The sequence below is a fragment of the Homo sapiens genome, chromosome X (assembly GCF_000001405.40).
Source record: "Homo sapiens chromosome X, GRCh38.p14 Primary Assembly".
NCBI classification, from domain to species: Eukaryota; Metazoa; Chordata; class Mammalia; order Primates; family Hominidae; genus Homo; species Homo sapiens.
The window spans coordinates 3,184,280-3,203,690 of record NC_000023.11 but is presented as its reverse complement, the minus strand read 5'-3'; the positions used below and the strand labels follow the sequence as shown (position 1 = coordinate 3,203,690).

General features: G+C 39.2%; 1 annotated feature.

Moving 5' to 3' along the window:
* Positions 18,338-18,873: an enhancer, noted in NCBI's record as "NANOG hESC enhancer chrX:3102859-3103394 (GRCh37/hg19 assembly coordinates)". NCBI's record gives its function as "activates a minimal SCP1, AML or CMV promoter by ChIP-STARR-seq in naive H9 embryonic stem cells {active_cell/tissue: H9 hESC(naive)}" and the evidence as "EXISTENCE:reporter gene assay evidence [ECO:0000049][PMID:30033119]".

Here is a 19,411-nt window from a genome sequence, read left to right as displayed (position 1 = left end):
CAGAAGTTGCAGTGAGCCAAGATGGGGCCACTGCACTGCAGCTTGGGTAAAAGAACGAGACTCTGTCTCAAAAGAAAAAAAAAATGTTCCCTCTCTCTTTGTTGTCACCTGCAGATACTGTCAGACTTGCTTGGGACATCTGGTTTCTATCTAAAGAGCATCAGAGGAGCTAGTATGTAGGCAGAATTAACATTAAGAGCCAGAGTCTCATCAGTCCATGCCTAGTACCTTCTCATCACGTGCATCCTTATTGTGTGAATTTGTTAGGTTGATATTTTACGTCAGTTTCAGCTAGAACTGATGGAAGAAATCCAAATCATCCCAAACATAATTTTTGTTTGTGCAGACCCTATAGTCTGGAACCAGATACAGGCACATCCAATAGTGAGCTCTGTGACAACCACATTGATCATGCCGACTGCAGCATTGAATTCATTTCTAGACTTTTTATTGTCTGCAGCATTTAGATAAGATGTTTAGCCTCTCCACAATGTGCTGTCAGATAAAAACAGAAGGTCTAAATTCATTCAAGGACAGAGATGTGGCTGTTGGAAGATAAGTACAGAGAAAGCATCCCTTGGACTGAATGACAAAGGGTGGGAATATTTTTGGTAGAGATGGGGTCTTACTACGTTGTCCAGGCTAGTCTCAAACTCCTGACCTCAAGCAATCCTCCCACCTCGGCCTCCCAAAACACTGAGGTTACAGGCAGGAGCCACCATGCCCAGCCAAAGAGTGATCATTTGTCAAGAAGAACAAACAGGACAGTGATGATTGATCATTGCATGAGAGAGACCTCAAGAAAAGTGAGCTTGGGAGAGGCCTCTAGACTGGGAAATCATACACCATGGGTCATTGCTTTAACAATGGTCTTCTCATTAAAAGATGAAACCAGAAATACAGCTGTAGACAACATTGATGGTCTAGCAGAGGAAACAGTGAAGCCAGGAGACAATTTGACACAGAAATAAGTGCATGAAAATCTAGCAAATAAATATGGAAGCTCCAAGAGCAACAGCAATGATTATGGTGTTGGCAACATCATTAGGGTTGAGGTCCCTGCAAAGTCATGAGAGTCCAGCCTGCACCCCAAACCCCTTCTCATTGCATCCCTTTTACATAAGGGAGATAGACTCACGTTTGGCGTGGAGCCTGCATTTCATCAATGGGAAGTTAGATGCCAGATGAAAGTCTGCCCCAGAGGTAAACTCAATTCTCCCTCTCTAAGACAATGGAAACCTTCCATGATGCAATTTTGATTATTGCTTTCTTCTAGTTGAAAAATTATAGACAAAATTCATGAAATCAAAAAGTATAAGAAGAAAATTAAAATTGTCCCTCATTGCTTCATTCAGAAATTATAACTGTTAATGCTGTTTTTTTTTATTTTAAAGGAAAATATATGTTATTGAATGGAAAGAAAAATACCTAAACTGAATATCACAAAATGAGATATGTAGTAATCAATGTTGCTAAGGAAAACAACAATGCCTACAATTATGTTAAGAAAAAAAGTTTAAAACTCTGAAAATAGTGAGTTTTTAAAACTATACAATGTTTTATGAGCTTAGCATTTTCAAAAAGCAAAATACAGTTTTTATCTTTGATTTTAAAACTATAAGGCTGAATTGATATCTAAATAAACAATCCAACAAGCACTCGGTTAAAATTTTTTTAAAAAAGAAGAAAAAATTAAAAGCTTTAAATTTTAAAGTTGAAGAAAAAAATTTCTTTAAACTTTTTTTAAAGAAGAAAATATTTAAAGGCTGAAGATGATCCTCTAAGAAAATTTAATATATCTAATAAAGTGGGAAATCACTACACCCAACACGAGGAAATTATTTTAATTGAAACTCTGCTATTAATCCAAAGAGAATTTAATATATTCAAAGGGGTTTTTCTTTCTTTGGGAATTGCCTGGCCAAGGAAGAATTCTGTTTTGTTTTGTTTTTTTCTAGAATTACTGTTTCTTACATTTGATTAATCATTGAAAAAATAAAAAAACAAAAAAGACCTACCACATTTTGGTTTGCTTCTTGAACAGCAAGTAATTTTTTCTTTCCCAGAGATTATCTTCCTTTTGTTGAAGAAGCACAGGCTTTCATCTCTACGTAAAAAAACTTTTGAATCCCCCTCTAGCCTAGAGATATGCAATTCCTCCCTGACAAAATTCTTCTGGGAGCCCTGTGATTTCCTGTTCTACCTTAATCCAAGTGGATTAATCCAGCTGCTTTTTGAATTTTACCACTTATTTCCTCTTAATCTGGAATATATCAAGTATTTACTTTTTGTTTTGTCTTGTTTTCAGAAAAGAGCTTTGGAATGAAAACTTTCTAACCTTTCGCAGATGAAAAACTCTTCCTTTTTTCTTCCCTCATACTGATTCACAAGTCTGGCCAGATTTGGAATTCTAGAAGAAAAAAATATTGTTCTCACAGGAAGCTGCATGCCTTGCAACATTGTCTCATAGCATCCACTATTGCTGTTGAGAAGTTTCATGATTTCTGATTGTGGTTGCAACTTGGGTAACTTAATTTTATTTTCATCTTGGAGAAGAAAGATCTTCACTGGTACCAGTGCAACAGTTAGTTCATGTTGAGTAACAAACCACCCTGAATTTGAGTGGCTTCAAACAACACTGATTTGCTTAGCTCTCAGTTCTCTGGGTGGGTAATTTGGGCAGGGCTCAGTGGGGCACTCACTTTTCTGTGGTCAGCAGGCTGGTCAGCTAGGTGGCCCCGCTTATGGGAGAATAGGGGAAATGTGTCCCTTGTCTCGTCACACAGCAGGTGGGGTTGCACTTCTTCACATGGTGGCTGGATTCCAAATTCAGCGAGAAAGGAAGCTGCAAACCTGTTGCAGCAAGGCTTGGAATCAGCATGACCTTGCTTTCCCCGGATTTCAAGGTCAAAGCACATCCCAGGGCAAGCCCACACTCAGTGGAGAGGGAAGCGACTCTACCTCTTGATGCATTGTGTCATAAGAATGGTGGACTTTTCTGCAATCTATGGTAGTCAGCCTCTTAGCATGTTTTTTTCTTAGTATCATTTAGTAACACTTTTCAATTCAAAGATGTAAGTGGATGTTTTCCGTAAGTTATGTATCTATTAATATATACTAAATATATGATGTATAATCAATATATTAATTATTATAGTTTACTCTTGAACAATGTGGGGGGGTTAGAAGCACTGACCCCTGCACAGTTGAAGATCCACCTGTAACTCTGGACTCCCTCAAAACTTAAATACAAACAACCTATTCATATATACATATATAATCTCTTTGACCACATATACATACATGTATATGTCTATTTTATAATGAAATATTTTAATTTTATAAATATAAATAAAACATGTAAACATTAGCTATATAACTACATAAATATTAACATGTACATACATATAAAACATTTTATAATTAATATACAGTTATGTTATAATTTATAATATTTAAATATTATACTATAATATATTAATATAATATTAATATACTATATTACATATTGATATACAATATCATAATATTGATTTGTTATGAATTTATTATTATTTTCTATAAATTATTACTTTATTATATTATAAATTTTTAATTCATAATATAGTTATATTAATTTATACTTTATAAATATATACATTATATAATTAATATACAGTGGATCCTTGAACAACATGTGTTCAGGAAGCATTTTTTAATGTCAGAACTGGGAAGAAATCTTGGCCAGAAACCTCACCAATATTATAAACAGTAAATTAATACATATCGTGTATGTTTATATGTATTATATATGGTATTCTTCTAATAAAGCAAGCTAGAGAAAAGAAAATGCTTTTAGGAAAATCATAAGGAGGAGGAAATGGATTCACTATTCATTAAGTGGAAGTGGATCATCATCAAGGTCTTCATTCTCATCATCTTCACATTGAGGAGGTGGAGGAAGAGGAGGAAGAGGAAGGATTGATCTTGCTGTCTCAGGGGTGGCCGAGGCGGAGGAAAATCCTCATATACCTGTGTTGCTCAGGGGTCTACTGTAAATTAATTGTAGAAATAGATGTATTTAAATGTTAATATTTATAAAGTTGCATATCTAATCATGTTTAAATGTTTTATTTATATTCATAAAATTAATAGATTTTGTTATAAAATAGACATATACATATATGTATATGTGGTCAAAGAAATTATACATATTTATAAATAATTAAGTTTAATGTTATATATTTATACTTATGTAGAAAATATACATTTATATTTACATACATATATACACACATAATTTCTTGGATTATATTCTTTTAATCACTGTCTTTTTCCTCTATGTTTTGAAATGCTTACTAAGGAGACATTGGCTTTTATGAATCTCATCCAGGGTTTCTCAACCTCAATACTACTGACATTTGGGGCATTTTTTTTTTTTTCAAGTCAGGGTCTCACTCTGTCTCCCAGGCTGGAGTGCAGAGGCTTCAGGGTACTAATTCAGTTCTCTGAATTCTTTTTGTTTCTTCTGCATGACCTACATTTCTTCCAGGAGGGTTCTTGTATACAGCACTGTATTAGTCCATTTTCATATTGCTATGAAGAAATGCCCGAGACTGAGTAATTTATAAAGAAAAAGAGGTTTAGTGGACTCACACTCCCACATGGCCAGGAAGGCCTCAGAATCACAGCAGAAGGTGAAGGAGGAGCAAAGGCATGTCTTACATGGCAGCAGGCAAGAGGGCGTGTGCAGGGGAACTGCCGTTTAGAAAACCATCAGATCTCATGAGACTTATTCAGTACCATGAGACTAGCACAAGAAAAACCTGCCTTCATGATCCCATTACCTTCCACCAGCTCCCTCCCATGACTCGAGGGAATTGTGGGAGCTACAATTCAAGATGAGATTTGGATGGGGACACAGCCAAACCATATCAAACACCCTTGGCATAACTAACTGCATCTTAGAAAAAGACTCCATTTGATGTTTCACAGGGCCCTGTGCAAAGAAGGATAAGAGGTTTTGCTTAATAAACAAACAAACAAAAAAATAAAGACTGCATCCAACCAGATAAGGACATAACCAAGCACATTCTTCTACCATCAACCCTCAACAGAGGATTCTGTGGTCATAAAAAGAGCAGGACTTCAGCAACTCAAAACAGTTGTCTTAACTGACAACTGTCTTGCTGTCACTCCTGAAAAGAACTTGGCATCAGCCACCAAAGGCTGTGCCACATCAAAGCCTTTGCCTTGCGAGACTGATGCACAGCCAGGCCCAGACCATGACATTCTTCTTGTCCACATCACTCTATTTAGACTGGTTTCTTAGCCATTTCTTTTCTTTCTTTTTTTTTCACAGGGGTCTCACTGTGTTGTCTAGGCTGAAGAGCAGTGGCACCATCTTTGCTTACTGCAACCTCCTCCTCCCGGACTCAAGACATCCTCTTGCCTCAGCCTCCTGAGTAGTTGGGACTACAGGCGCACACCACACCACCATGCCTGGTTAATTTTTTTTTTTTTTTTTTTTTTGTAGAGACAGTGTTTTGCCATGTTGGCCAGGCTGGTCTCAAACTCCTGAACTCAAGGGATCCTCTCACCTCAGTCTCTCAAAAGTGCTGGGATTACAGGTGTGAGGCACCGAGCCCAGCTTTGTTAGCCATTTCTCCTATCTCTTTTTCCTCTTGATGTTCCATGTTACTTTGTTTGCCATGGAATGTTTAATCCGTAACATTTATTTATTGAATATATAATCATTATGTATGGTTTGCAATATCAACTGACATGTGGAGTGGCTTGAACCTGTGTGCCCGCAGCTCTGACTACCAAGTGAACAGGAAGCACTAAGGAGAATTGCCTCCTTGGGAACTCCATGCAGCTTGTGGCCTTTGTAATTGCAATAGCGTCAATAAAAGACTGACATTGTGGAAAGACACAATTATGCATGGAACTGGTTATCTCCAACCTTGCACCTCTCATGAGAGTCAGACCTTCTGTTTGTTCATTTTAGAACTGGTTCATACTGTTAATTTCCCTCAACTATCTGGCGGTTTACTTACATTGTGGAATTATTTTTCTAGGCAGATTAGAACACCTAGGAGGCTCAGGCTTCCCTGGCAGTTTTGGAGAGCTCTTTCTCTTGCTGATGGGGAGACAGCCCAGCGAAAGACTCTGCAAACCAGAGCCTATCTAACTCTACGTGTCCCTCTAGGTAAGGGCTGAGGCAGGCTGTTCAGCTCAGAACCACCACAACAGCCAAAATAAGAGGGTGTTCTTCTGGAGTCACAGGGTTTAGAGCGCATTACTCCACAGATCGAAGCCAACTTTCCTTTGCCCTCTAAGTCCACGGGGGAGATCTGAATTCATCCTGGACTTCTGTCTCCTTGTTGTCCTAACTCCCATGATAGAAGTCCCCACCTCACCACCCCAGGGTGGTTCCTGCTTTGTCTAGAAAGAGTTCTAGGGGTTTTTACCAGGAGCAAATGAAACAGTGAGATGCTCTCTGCAAATGTCAGGAAGAAGCCAAGTGGCCCAGCTGTTGAGGTAAAAATAAATAAGTTCTTCATCTCATTACCCAGTTGATCAGTTCGGAACTCAATCCTGATGACTGGATTTCTTCTTTTTCATTTTGATCTTGAAAATTATCTCAAAAATGACTATTGACTCCACATCATAAGCATTTTTTTAAATTGTGTAAAATATGTGTAACATGAAATTTACTCTTTTAGCCATTTTTAAGTGCACAGTTCAGTGGTATTAGGTATAGGCACATTGCTGTGCAACCATCACCAATATCCATCTGCAGAACAGTTCATGTTGCAAAACTGAAACTCTGTCCCCATTAAACACTAATGCCCCAATTCCTCTCCCCCTGGCCTCTGGCAATCAACATTCTACTTTCTACCCCTAACAATTTGACTACTCTAAGGCTCTCATATATGAGGAATCATATGGTATTTGTCCTTTTTGTGGTTGGCTTACTTCACTCAGGAAAACATCCTCAAGGTTCATCCATGCTGTAGAATATGTTAGGATTCTCTTCTTTTTTAAGGCTGAATAACATTCCATTGTATGGATGGATCACATTTTGTTCACATATTCATTCGTCTATGCACATTGGTTGTTTCTATTTTTTGACTGTTGTGAAGGATGCTTCTGTGAACATGTGTGTACAGCATAAGCATATTTTTAAAAACATTTCAACCACATCAATGCCTGTTTCTCTTATGGCTGCCCATCCTTCTCTAATCTATTCTCCTACCTACCTTCAGAGCAACTTCTTGTTCCCAGTGAAGCAGAGGCTGGGACATGTGTAGAAGTTGTCTCTTGTCCCTGCCTGTGCCTGTGATCCAACACATCAGATAAAGATCTTCAGTCAGTACCATGAAGGAAAGGACAGAACATTGATTTCATTGGCCTCATGGTACCTGGAATGGCCAGCACCTCCTATGATAAAAAAAAAAAATTAGATTTGTTAATGGTTCTTGTGGTAATAGGGTTTCTTTCTTATTCTCTTTAACATCATCACCTTCCTCCCTCCCTCCCTTCTTCCTTCCTTTCTTGCTTTCTTCCTTCCTTCCCTCGTTCTTTCCCTCCCTTCTTCCTTTCCCTTCTCTCTCTCCCTCCCTCCTTCCTTCCTTTCTTTCTTTCTTTCTTTTTCTTTCTTTCCTTCTTTCTTTTCTTTCTTTCTTTTTTCTTCCTCCTTCCTTTCTTTTCTTCCTCACTCTCCCTCCCTTTCTTCCTCTTTCCTTCCTCCCTCCCTTCCTTCCCTTCTTTCTTTTTCCTTCCTCCATCCCTCCTTTCTGCCCTCCCTCCTTCCTTCCTTTAACTCTCTTTTCTTTCTCCTTCCCCCTCCCTTCCTTCCCCTTTTCTTCCAGTTGTAAAGTCCTTTGCCCAATAATAATTTCAGCATATTGTCTTTAGATGAGATAATACATGCTAACATCAAATAATAGATTTTTAAAACACTTAAACATATTCCAAAGTGAAGACTCATGACCACTGAGTGTAAATTCCTGACCAGTACCTTAACTGCACCACCTCTTTTGTGGAATCATTCTACATCTTAGAGAACAAATATAATCTTTCAAACAAATAAGACATTTCCAAACCACAGAAGAAAAAAAGTACTCAAAAGAAATACAAACTGTGCAAGAACTGAGGTTTCATAAAAATGACAATTTTAAAAATTTCACCTCAATCTCAATGGAGTTCATATTATGTTTTGCATAAAAGTTAATTATGAGCTACTGTTGTTTTTTTAACTTTGTAGTAATAGCCATTCTGACTGGTGTGAGTTGGTATCTCATTATATATCTCAGACAGCTGGAGGAGCAAGATAATTTTCTAGGCAACTAAATGTCCTCTGATACATTTTATCAGATTTTGCCTGAAGGTGAAAGAGCAAGAAGTACACCATAGTTTCCATACAGGGTGAAAAATAATGTGCCCCTTGTTTCTCTTCATTATTCCCCAACAGATGTAGAATTGTGGACTCATCTGTAGAACAGAACAGGCTGTTACAGAAAGGAAGGAAATATTAGCAAACTATGCATCTGACAAAAGTCTAACATCCAGAATCCAAAAGGAACTTAAATTAACAGGCAAAAAACAAATAACTCCATTGTATTACTCTGTTTTCACACTGCTATAAGGATACTATCCTAGACTGGGTAATTTATAAGGAAAAGAGATTAAATTGACTCACAGTGCCGCAAGGCTGGGGAAGCCTCAGGAAACTTACAATTATGGTGGAAGGGAAAGGGGAAGCAGGCACCTTCCTCACAAGGCAGCAGGAGAGAGAGCAAGAGCAGGGAAAACTGCTATTTATAAAACCATCAGATCTCATGAGAATTCACTCACTATCTCAAGAACAGCATGGGGGAAGCCATTCCCATGATTCAGTCACCTCCTACCAGGTCCCTCCCTCAACCCAATTTGAAATACAATTCAAGATGAGATTTGGGTGGGGACACAGAGCCCCACCATATCATCCATTAAAAAGTAGGGAAAAGACATGAACAGGACATTTCTCAAAAGAAGACATACAAACAGCCAACAAATCTATTTTTAAAAGCTCAACATCACTAATTATCAGAGAAAATGCAAATTGAAACCACAATGAGATACCATCTCATACCAGTCAGAATGGTCATTACTACAAAGTTAAAAAAATAAAAATAAAATAAAATAAACCAGCAGATGCTGGTGAGGTGGTAGGGAAAAGAGGACACTTATACACTGTTGCTGGGAATATAAATTGGTTCAGCCACTGGTGGATAGCAGTCTGGTGATTTCTCAAAGAACTTAAAACAGAACTACCATTGCACCCAGCAATCCCATTATTGGGTATATACCCAAAGGAATATAAATTGTTCTACCATAAAGACAAGTACACGTGTATGTTCATTGCAGCACTATTCACAATAGCAAAGACATGGAGTCAATCTAAATGCCCATCAATGGTAGACTGGATAAGGAAAATGTGGTACATATACACCATGGAATACTATGCAGCCACAAAAAAGAACAAAATCATGTCCTTTGCAGCAACCTGGATGGAGCTAGAGGCCATTGTCCTTAGTAAATTAACACAGGCGCAGAAAACCAAATACCACACGTTCTCTCTTAGAAGCGGAGCTAAACGTTGAGAATATATGGGCACAAAGAAGGGAACAACAGATGCCAAGGCCTACTTAAGGGTTCAGGGGTAAAAGTGCAGGTTTGTTACATAGATAAACTAATATCATGGGGATTTGTTGTACAGATTATTTTGTCACCCAGATATTAAGCCTAGTACCCATTAGTTGTTTTTCCTGATCCTCTCCCTCCTCCCTCCAAAAGACCCCAGTGTGTGTTGTTCCCCTCTATGTGTCCATGTGTTCTCATCCTTTAGCTCCCACTTACAAGTGAGAGCATGCAGCATTTGGTTTTCTGGTCCTGTGCTAGTTTGCTAAGGATAATGGCCTCCAGCTCCTTCCATCTCCCAGCAAAGCATCTCATTCTCTTTTATGGCTGTATATGCATCTCATGGTACGTATGTACCACATTTTCTTTATCCAGTCTACCATTGATGGGCATTTAGGTTGATTCCATGTCTTTGCTATTAAGAACAGTGCTGCAATGAACATATGCATGCATGTTGAACCCCTGATTTCTAATGCATGAATGTTTTTGTGTCCAGTCTCCTTGAGTCATTTGCAAGATGTCATCCTCCACCAACTTGGCTTCTTAGCTTACAGAATTCCAGAAACAGTGTGCTCAATTAACATTATAAAGGCATTGTTTCCCAACCACAGTAATAAACTAATGAAGATTCAAATATTTAAGAAGTCATTCAAAACCTGAGAAGACTAATGAAATTTGTTGCGCTCAGATTTTCTCTCAAGCCATGCTATTGTTTTGGGAGACGTATTTTATTTTTCTTTTAATTTCCCTAAGTTGTAATAAAGCAATCATATTTGTGGTTAAGAGGATCGATTCCAAACCAATGTTAGCTTCTTTAGATGCACTTAAGAAAATCAAATCCTTCTTCACACTTTCTCATGGAAAATTCCATAATCCGTTTTTCATGTCAAAATGCTGCATTGATTACTTGAAAGGACGCTTATGAATGCCAATAACTAAGTCCTCCCCTCTAAGATTAACGAATAAGTAATCTTCTCAAAGTGCTAACTCAGCATTTGGACGTCAATTTACTTTTGAGCAACCAATGTGCTAGGTTATTGTATCTGAGGTTGCAGAGACTTCAGGAATTGTAATAAATGTATCATTTAATGATACAGCTGCAAAGGTCTTCAATGGCACCTTGTCAAGCATAATATACTTTCATGAGAGTAGAGTCTAACAAGATGTCTTTGTTGTGGGAAAAATTCAGAAGCCAGTAAAAATATAAAAGATACATGCTGTGTTGGAAATGTCTCCCTCGCCATTGTGAAAAAAAAACAAATACTTGATTATGTTTATGTGGCAATTTTTTTTTTTTTGAGACAGAATCTCGTTCTGTTGCCCAGGCTGGAATGCAGTGGTACAATCTCGGCTCACTGTAACCTCCACTTCCTGGGTTCAAGCGATTCTCCTGCCTCAGCCTCCCAAGTAGCTGAGATTACGGACATGCACCACCACGACCTGCTAATTTTTGTGTTTTTAGTAGAGAAGGGGTTTCACCATGCTGGCCAGGCTGGTCTTGAACTCCTGACCTCAAGTGTTCTACCTACATCAGCCTCCCAAAGTGCTGGGATTACAGGCATAAGCCACCATTTTTTTTGAATGAATAAAAATGGTCAAATCATAAGAATTTTCAAATCTCCAAGATTTATTCAATGCAAGAGGCTCAGAATTTGTATTGCTTCACCCAGCAGATTCCTCCAGAGCAAAATTGTTGCAGGACTCCATTTTGTCGGTAAAATAAATTGTGTTTATGAAGCATAAAAATTATGCCAAGTCAACATTGGCTCTATTAAAACATCAGTAACTCAGCCATGAATGCAACTTGTCGCCTACGCTCCACACACTTCTGAAATATTTGCCTGGGTTTATAAAAACGATGGTATTGAAGTGGATGTGTGCATCTTTCTCAAGGCAGCAAATTAAAAAATGGTTTATTCTGCCCCTCCGCAGCTCTTCCAGCCACATGGCATGTGGGTGTAGGCGTTACTGAAAGAAGCCATTCCCTGAAATCTGAGACTGTGGTTTCAATCCACCTGGCAATCGCCAGACCATGCTGGCCCCCACCAGCCCACAGTACAAGGATTAATGGTGCCATAACCCTCGCACACTGCATCACCCACAAAAATCCTGCATCTGAAAATTGTCTTCAGGTTTTGTCCACTATTTTTCTTGGAAAGTCAGAACTACAGTTCTACCTTATAACCCATTTCTGATTTCATCATGTGCAAAGCAGACAAAATAATAATGAGGAAATGGTCAAAACCTTTGGAGGTTCAGAAATTTTTTTTAAAAGCTTTCTTTGTTCTTAATCTTCCCAACTGTTTAAAACCATTTGTATCAAAGTATGTGAAAGGGTTATTGCAGTTTATCACTTGTCTTTCTAAGCATGAAAGCCAGGTTAGGATGGAAGTCTATTTAGAAACAAATTTAATTAACAACAAAAATACCCACACAAGAGTGTGGGGTGCTCACAGTGTGAGAAATGTGTGTGGCGTGTGTGTGTTTTAATCAAAAACTGATGCAAATGTAATGGGACATTGGTTCACTTCCTAATTCCTCCCTGAAAAATAAATTATAGCCTCCTAATGTCTCTTCCTTTGGATCTAAGCACAAGCAGATGTGTGGAGACAAGGAACTAAAGAGGATAAATTACCAGAAAGATGTGCAAACCAAAAGCCCGTTATGCACTGTCATCAACTTCAAGGTTGATAGTTTGAATTCCAATCATACCACACAGTTCTTATTAGAATCTTATTCGATACCTCCAAATCACAGAGAAATGAGATGGGCTCTGTCTTGCCCAATCTCATGTTTTCTTACTTGCTTTTTCTTTTTTTTCTTTTTCTTTCTCTCTGTTTCTTTCTCTCTCTCTCTCTCTCTCTCTCTCTCTCTCTGTCACCTGCAAAGAAAAATAATAGACTTTGTTTTGATAAAATCATAACATCCAAGATTGAAAGGAATGTCTAAAGTCTCCATTTCATGCATTCCAACTAAGACAGGGTAGGTGTAAGGGTTGGTCAAGTTCATTGTTAGAGGGGACAATCCCCATATGACCACCCACTGTTCTGACATCAACTGCAAATTTTGGGGTCCCCAAGACAACCCTCAGTTTGGCTCTTTGGATAGGATGACAGACCTCACCATTACACTCATGGTTATGGTTTATTACGTGGCAAGGATACAGATTGACATAGCAGCCAAGAGAAGAGGGATGTGGGACAGATAGAATCCAGGAAAAGTTGCAGACACAGAGCTCCTTCTGTCCTTTCCTTGTGGAGTTGTGGACAGCACGGAGCCTCACAGTCTTAGCTTGTGCAGAATGCCTGAAGCATTGCCAACCAGGGTAGCTAGCCCAAACCCCAGTGTTCAGAGTCTTCAGCTGGGGCTCCACAGTCAATGGCCCACAGAGTTGACCTCAATCTGTAGCCTCTCCAGAGGTCTGAGCTGATACTTCAAGACCCAAAGCTCCCACCCTTAACCATATTGTTAACACCTAGTATGTCCATCTCATACTCTAAAAATCTCTGCTATGAATAGCCCCCTCTACCCTAAATCACATTGCTAGATTGTCCAGTTACCCCAGGTCCCCCAGTACATAAACACATTCCTACTAGGCAGGACATTCCAAGGCTAGTGTGCACCTCTCAGGAGCTGGGGGCAAATGCCCCACCCCTCTTTGAGCAACATTAACCCTTTACTTTCACAGCAGGGCCCACTGCAAAAGTGGTTTTGTCTAAATTATGAGAAAAAAGCTAATGGTCTCTTAGCACTGTCTGTATGTGTGTGTATAATTAAAACATTATATACGTCTTGAATATTTATCAGTATCGTGACTATGGAGTTTAGTTTCAGTTTTTTGGTACCTCCTGAAATTTGTGCCTGATGAGATTGTGTCATTAGACATTCTAGCCCTGCCCTAGGCACCACAGCTGACGATAATATTAAAATATTATATATATAGTGTATATATATATATATAAAATGTAGTTTACATGCACATATAAAATTTTAACCAACTCTATACATGATATTTAATTTATATATATATATCTTTTATTTATGTATAACATTTTAAGCAACTATATAAGATAGACATATGTATATGCATAAAATATAACATGTATATATATGTAATTTTTAATCTGTGTGTATATATATATATATATATATATATATATATATATATACACAGATGTATACAGAAGCTCCTAGATTTACAATGGGGTAACGCATTGATAAAACCATTATAAAGTTGAAATATTGTAATTTGAACCTTCGTTAAGTCCAGATACTGTTTGTTTAACAATAGGGTTACATGTTTAACAATAGGGTTACATCCTGATAAACCTATCATAAAAACAAAAAAGTCCTAAATTGGCTGGGTGTGGTGGCTCATGCCTGTAATCCCAGTGCTTTGAGATGCCAAGGCAGGAAGATTGCTTGAGGCCAGGAGTTCAAGACCAGTCTGGATAACATAGGAAGACCTCATCTCTATTTAAAAAACAAAAATGTTAAGAATATCTGGGCCAGGTGTGGTAACTCACACTTGTAATCCTATTGTTTTGAGAGGCAGAGTCAGGAGGATTGCTTGAGACCAGGAGTTTGAGACTGGTCTGGGCCATATAGTGAGATCCTGTCTCTACAAAAAATAAAAATTTAGCCAGGCATGGTGGCTCACACCTGCAGCCCCAGCTACTTGAGAGGTTGAGGCAGGAGGATCCCTGAGCTCAGCAAGTTGAGTCTGCAGTGAGCCATCATTGCACCACTGCACTCTAGCCTGGGCCACAAAGGAAGATCCTGTCTTAAAAAAAATAATAAAAAATGAACTGTAAGTTGAACCCATCTTAAATGAGGGACCATCTATATATGTACATACATGCATACACATATACATAATTTTTTATATGTACAAACGCTATATGTCTAAAAACATAATATATATGTATGTATAAATAGAATTTTTAGCCAGCAGTGGTGCCCAGGACAGGGCTAGGGTGGGGAAATTGAGCCAACTGCTTTGAGCACAAAATTTCAGTGGGCACCAAAACTTCAGTGGTCAAAATATGAAATACTTTAATTCCATATCATAAAAAATCAAAGTGAATGAAAAAAATTGTGATTAACAAAAGATCCAAATTTTTAGTGAAGATAAATTCCCCTACTCTGAAAGAGCCTATTTTCATGTCCACATGCCCCTTTTGAGGCTAAAATATACCCACGAATGGCCAGGAAACGGATACACCTTTTTTCTTGTATTGCCTCGGGAATATTGTTGGGATAAAGAAGGTGATGTGGGGTGAAGACATCATCATTGGATTAACACACCGAGGGCTTAGTTGGGCTTCATTCGTGCTCTGCTGTTTCGAAACCACAGCAAGCTGGCGTTGAAATGACCACCTTCGTCATCATTTTCAATGGCTGTTCATGAACTGGAACGATACCAAGAGGACTGTTCTCTGGAGTAGTTTGCTTTTTGCAGAAAACTGGTTCCTAGTGTGTAATCCACAAGAACTGGATGAGTTTTTCTAATCCAGAAAGCAATAGTGGTTTCTGAGCCACGGTTGGTGAGACAGGATTGGATGTTAAAACATGGAAGAGTTTTTTCTAGGACTTTTATCTATGCAAAAGAAGAGTAATCATTATATCAAAAAGACACCTTCACTCTTATGTTTATCACAGCACAATTCGTAATAGCAAAGTCATGGAATCAACCTAAGTGTCCATTAGCAGATGATTGGATCAAGAAAATGTGGTGTGTATGTATATAGACAGACATAGATATGCATACATGTATATTAGGTTGATGCAAAAGTAATTGCAGTTTTTCACATTAAAAGTAACAGAAAAAGCCACAATTACTTTTGCACCAACCTAATAACAGGTATATAGAGGTACAGATATATAGATATGTATAGATATATAGATATATAGAGGCATAGATATATAGATATGTATAGATATATAGAAGTATAGATATATAGATATGTATGGATATATAGATGTATAGATATATAGAGGTATAGAGATAGATATTTTTAAAATTTATTATTTGTTATGGCTGCGTGGTATTCCATGGTGCATGTATGTACATACATCTGTGCACCCATGTACATACATATGTACATTCAAGCACCATGGAATACTACACAGCCATAAAAAAGAATAAAACCATGTCTTTTGCAGCAACACGGATGGAGCTGGAGGCCATTATTCTAAGTGAAATGACTCAGAAGCAGTAAATGAAATGCCATACGTTTTCATGTGTAAGTAGAAGCTAAACACTGGGTACACATGGACATAAAGATGGAAATAAGAGCCACTGCAGGTTTCTGCTTCTAAGTGGGAGGTAAATAGGCATGCACATAGACACAGAGAGTGGAATAATAGACACTGCAGACTCAGAAGGGTGGGAAGGAGGTGAAGGATGAAAAATTACTTCATGGGTACAATGTACACTATTCAGACCATGGGTACACTAGAATCCCAAAACTCACTGTCAGACAATATAACCATGTAACAAAGCTGCATGTGTGCCCCTGAATCTAAAACAACATTTAAAAAACATAAAAGTTACAAAAAATTAAAATATTTTTTAAAATTTAAATAACGAAGTGAAACAGCCCAGAGGAACTCCTAGTAGAATTTAACTCACACCAGTAGCCTAGGGAAAAGGAATTTTTTCCAGGAACTTCACGACTAAATCCAGAGACACCACTAGTGTGTAACCCAGAAAGCTTCTGGGAGCACCATTCAAGGGAAAAACCATGGTGGACGTGGAGCCAGGGGGCTCTGGTTGTGGTTTCTCAAAACCTAGAATATACACAGAGAGAACTGGCCTGTCCAGCAAGAATCATGTTGAGATTTTACTATCAGAGTTCTGTGTTCAGACGTATCAAACATGCCAATGCTACGGGTCTATAATCTGCTTGTAAAAGTGCAGTTTATAGGCTGAGAGTTACTTTGGGTGATGCACTCTAGCCTGAGCTGTGGCAATCACCCCTCCGAAGCCCTAAATGTGCAGGAGAACATGGACCATACTGAGATGTCTGCAGCGCCCCCTAAAACACGCAGCAAAGAAGATCCTGCACCCATACAGTAACCCCTTTTTCTCCTCTGACCATTTTCACAGGAACCAGGGGAGGAAGGACAGAGGGAACCCACCCTAGGGAGTGGAAGAAGGGTCCTGTTGGCAGGTGGCCTAGGTTGGGAAGACCACCTCTACGTTTTCCATGGCCACATTAGTATTGCTGCTCCTCAGGTAACAATACAAGTGCACGTGTGCTCAACGCAGCAAGCATAACTGTACCTCAAAGCCAACACCTTAAAAGCAAACTCTCATGTATTTTCAGAATCAACTTTTTAGTTACTGTGAAATAACTAAAAACGGCTGGCTGTACACAGTGGCTCATGCCTATACTTCCAGCAATTTGGGAGGCTGAGTTGGGAGGATCGCTTAAGGCTAGGAGTTTGAGACCAGTCTAGGCAACACAGTGAGACCCTGTCTCTACAAAAAATACAAAAAATTATTTTTTTAGCATGGTAGTGCATGCCTGTGGTCCCAGCCACTTGGGAGGCTGAGGTGGGAGAATCGTTGGAGCCCAGGAGTTTGAGGCTGCAGTGAGCCAAGATCACGCCACTGCACTCCAGCCTGGGGAGGGAGGGAGACTTTGTCTCAAAAACAAAACAAAACAAAAACATAAACTAGAAATAACTCTAAATTTGAAGAATTAATTCTCCAAAAGCCTCCTAAAAAGAACATAGCAGTATACTTGTCCTCTGAACCCCTTTAGGGTAAATTCTTCCAGCCTACTGGGCCTTCCAGTTGGCAAATAACAAAAACCACGAAAGACATCTCCCCGCAAAAGAACTCTCTCTCTCTGAGAATATGTGCTGTAGTTACTTATTTGTAGTTTTCTTGTCTGATAAACTATGCAAAGCTAATCTTATTATTATTATCATAATTATTTTGAGACAGGGTCTTGCTCTGTTGCCCAGGCTGGATGTGAACATGGCTCACAGCAGCCTCGACCTCCTCTTCACAATAACCTTGCTACCACTCACTCTTTTGGTCCGTGCCATCTTTAAGAGCTGTAACACTCACCGCGAAGGTCCGCGGCTTCATTCTTGAAGTGAGACCACGAACCCACCAGAAGGAACCAACTCTGGACACATTTTGTGACTGGCTTCTTTGACTAAGCATTCTCTTTTGGGGATCACCCATGCTATAACATGTCTGCACTCTTTTTCTTTTCTTTTCTTTCTTTTTTAAAAGACTGTTTTTTTAGAGCAGTTTTAGGTTCACGGCAAAAGTGAGCGGAAGATACAAAGATTTCTCAGATACTCTCTGCCCTCTTCCCAAACAGCCTCCCCCACTATGAACATCCCCGACTAGAGCAGTACATTTGTTACAATGAACATTTGTTACAATGATGAACACACACTGGGTTCATAACATAACCCCAAAAGCCCAGAATTTACATTAAGGTTTACTGTGTTGCACATTCTATAGGTTTTGACAAATACATAATCACATGTATCCACCAGTATAGCCTCATACAGAACAGTTTCCCTGCTGTAAACATTCTCTGCTGCACCTGTCGGAGGTGTTTGAACCAGAGCAACTCCATCTTGAATAGGGGCTGGGTAAAATAAGGCTAAGACCTGCTGGACTGCATTCCCAGGAAGTTAAGACATTCTAAGTCACAATATGAGATTGGAGGTCAGCATGAGATACAGGTCGTAAGGACCTGGCTGATAAAACAGATGGTAGCAAAGAAGCCGGCCAAAGCCCACCAAAACCAAGATGCCGACGAGACTGACCTCTGGGCATCCTCACTGCTATACATCCACCAGCACCATGACAGTTTACCAATGCCACGGCAAGGTCAGGAAGTTACCCTATGAGCTCTAAAAGGGGGAGGCATGAATGATCCACCCCTTGTTTAGCATATCATCAAGAAATCACCATACAAATGGGCAACCAGCAGCCCTCGCCCTCGGGGCTGCTCTGTCTGTGGAGTAGCCATTCATTTATTCCTTTACTTTCTTAATAAACTTGCTTTCACTTTACTTTATGGACTCACCCAGAATTCTTTCTTGTACGAGTTCCAAGAACCTTCTCTTGGGGTCTGGGTTGGGCCTCTTTTCCAGTAACACTGACACCTCCAGCAGGCTCCTGGCATGCCCTAAGGTAGGGCTTAATTCTCTGTAATACTGCCTTGGCAAGTCAAGAGCCACTTTGGGCCTTCATGCCTTTTTATTTAAGCACCAGGATTGCTCCTTCTGGCTGGGGACAGAAGAAAATATCTTGCAGCCAAAGTATTGCAACAGAGACATTTCCTTGGAAGCCTCCAGGGCCTTTTTGGTTTTTTCCTAGTTCCTCCTTAAGTGTATCTGCCAAACAGAACCCAACTGAGCCTGTGTCCTCATCAAAGTCTCCCCAGCCCCAGGATAGAAGCCTCCAGCACTTTTTAAACTCTCCCTCCCTTCTCTCCACCTCTATTGGTGAGCTCATCATCAAAGCCTTTCCCTATTTATTAATCTGTTTTGTTTCTTTTTCAGTGTGCAAAGCTACTGTCATCCTGCTGCCCAATGGGGTTACCCTGCTAAGTTCTCTAAGCAATGGAACTGTTCTCCGAGGGTCAGTTATACATGTGGAATTTTAAAACACTGGACAGGAAAGCCACATTGTAAACAAACTGAACATTAGTGAATTCCAATGCAAGAGTATCCGCTCTTTCAGGCTGATGATTTTGCAATGGCC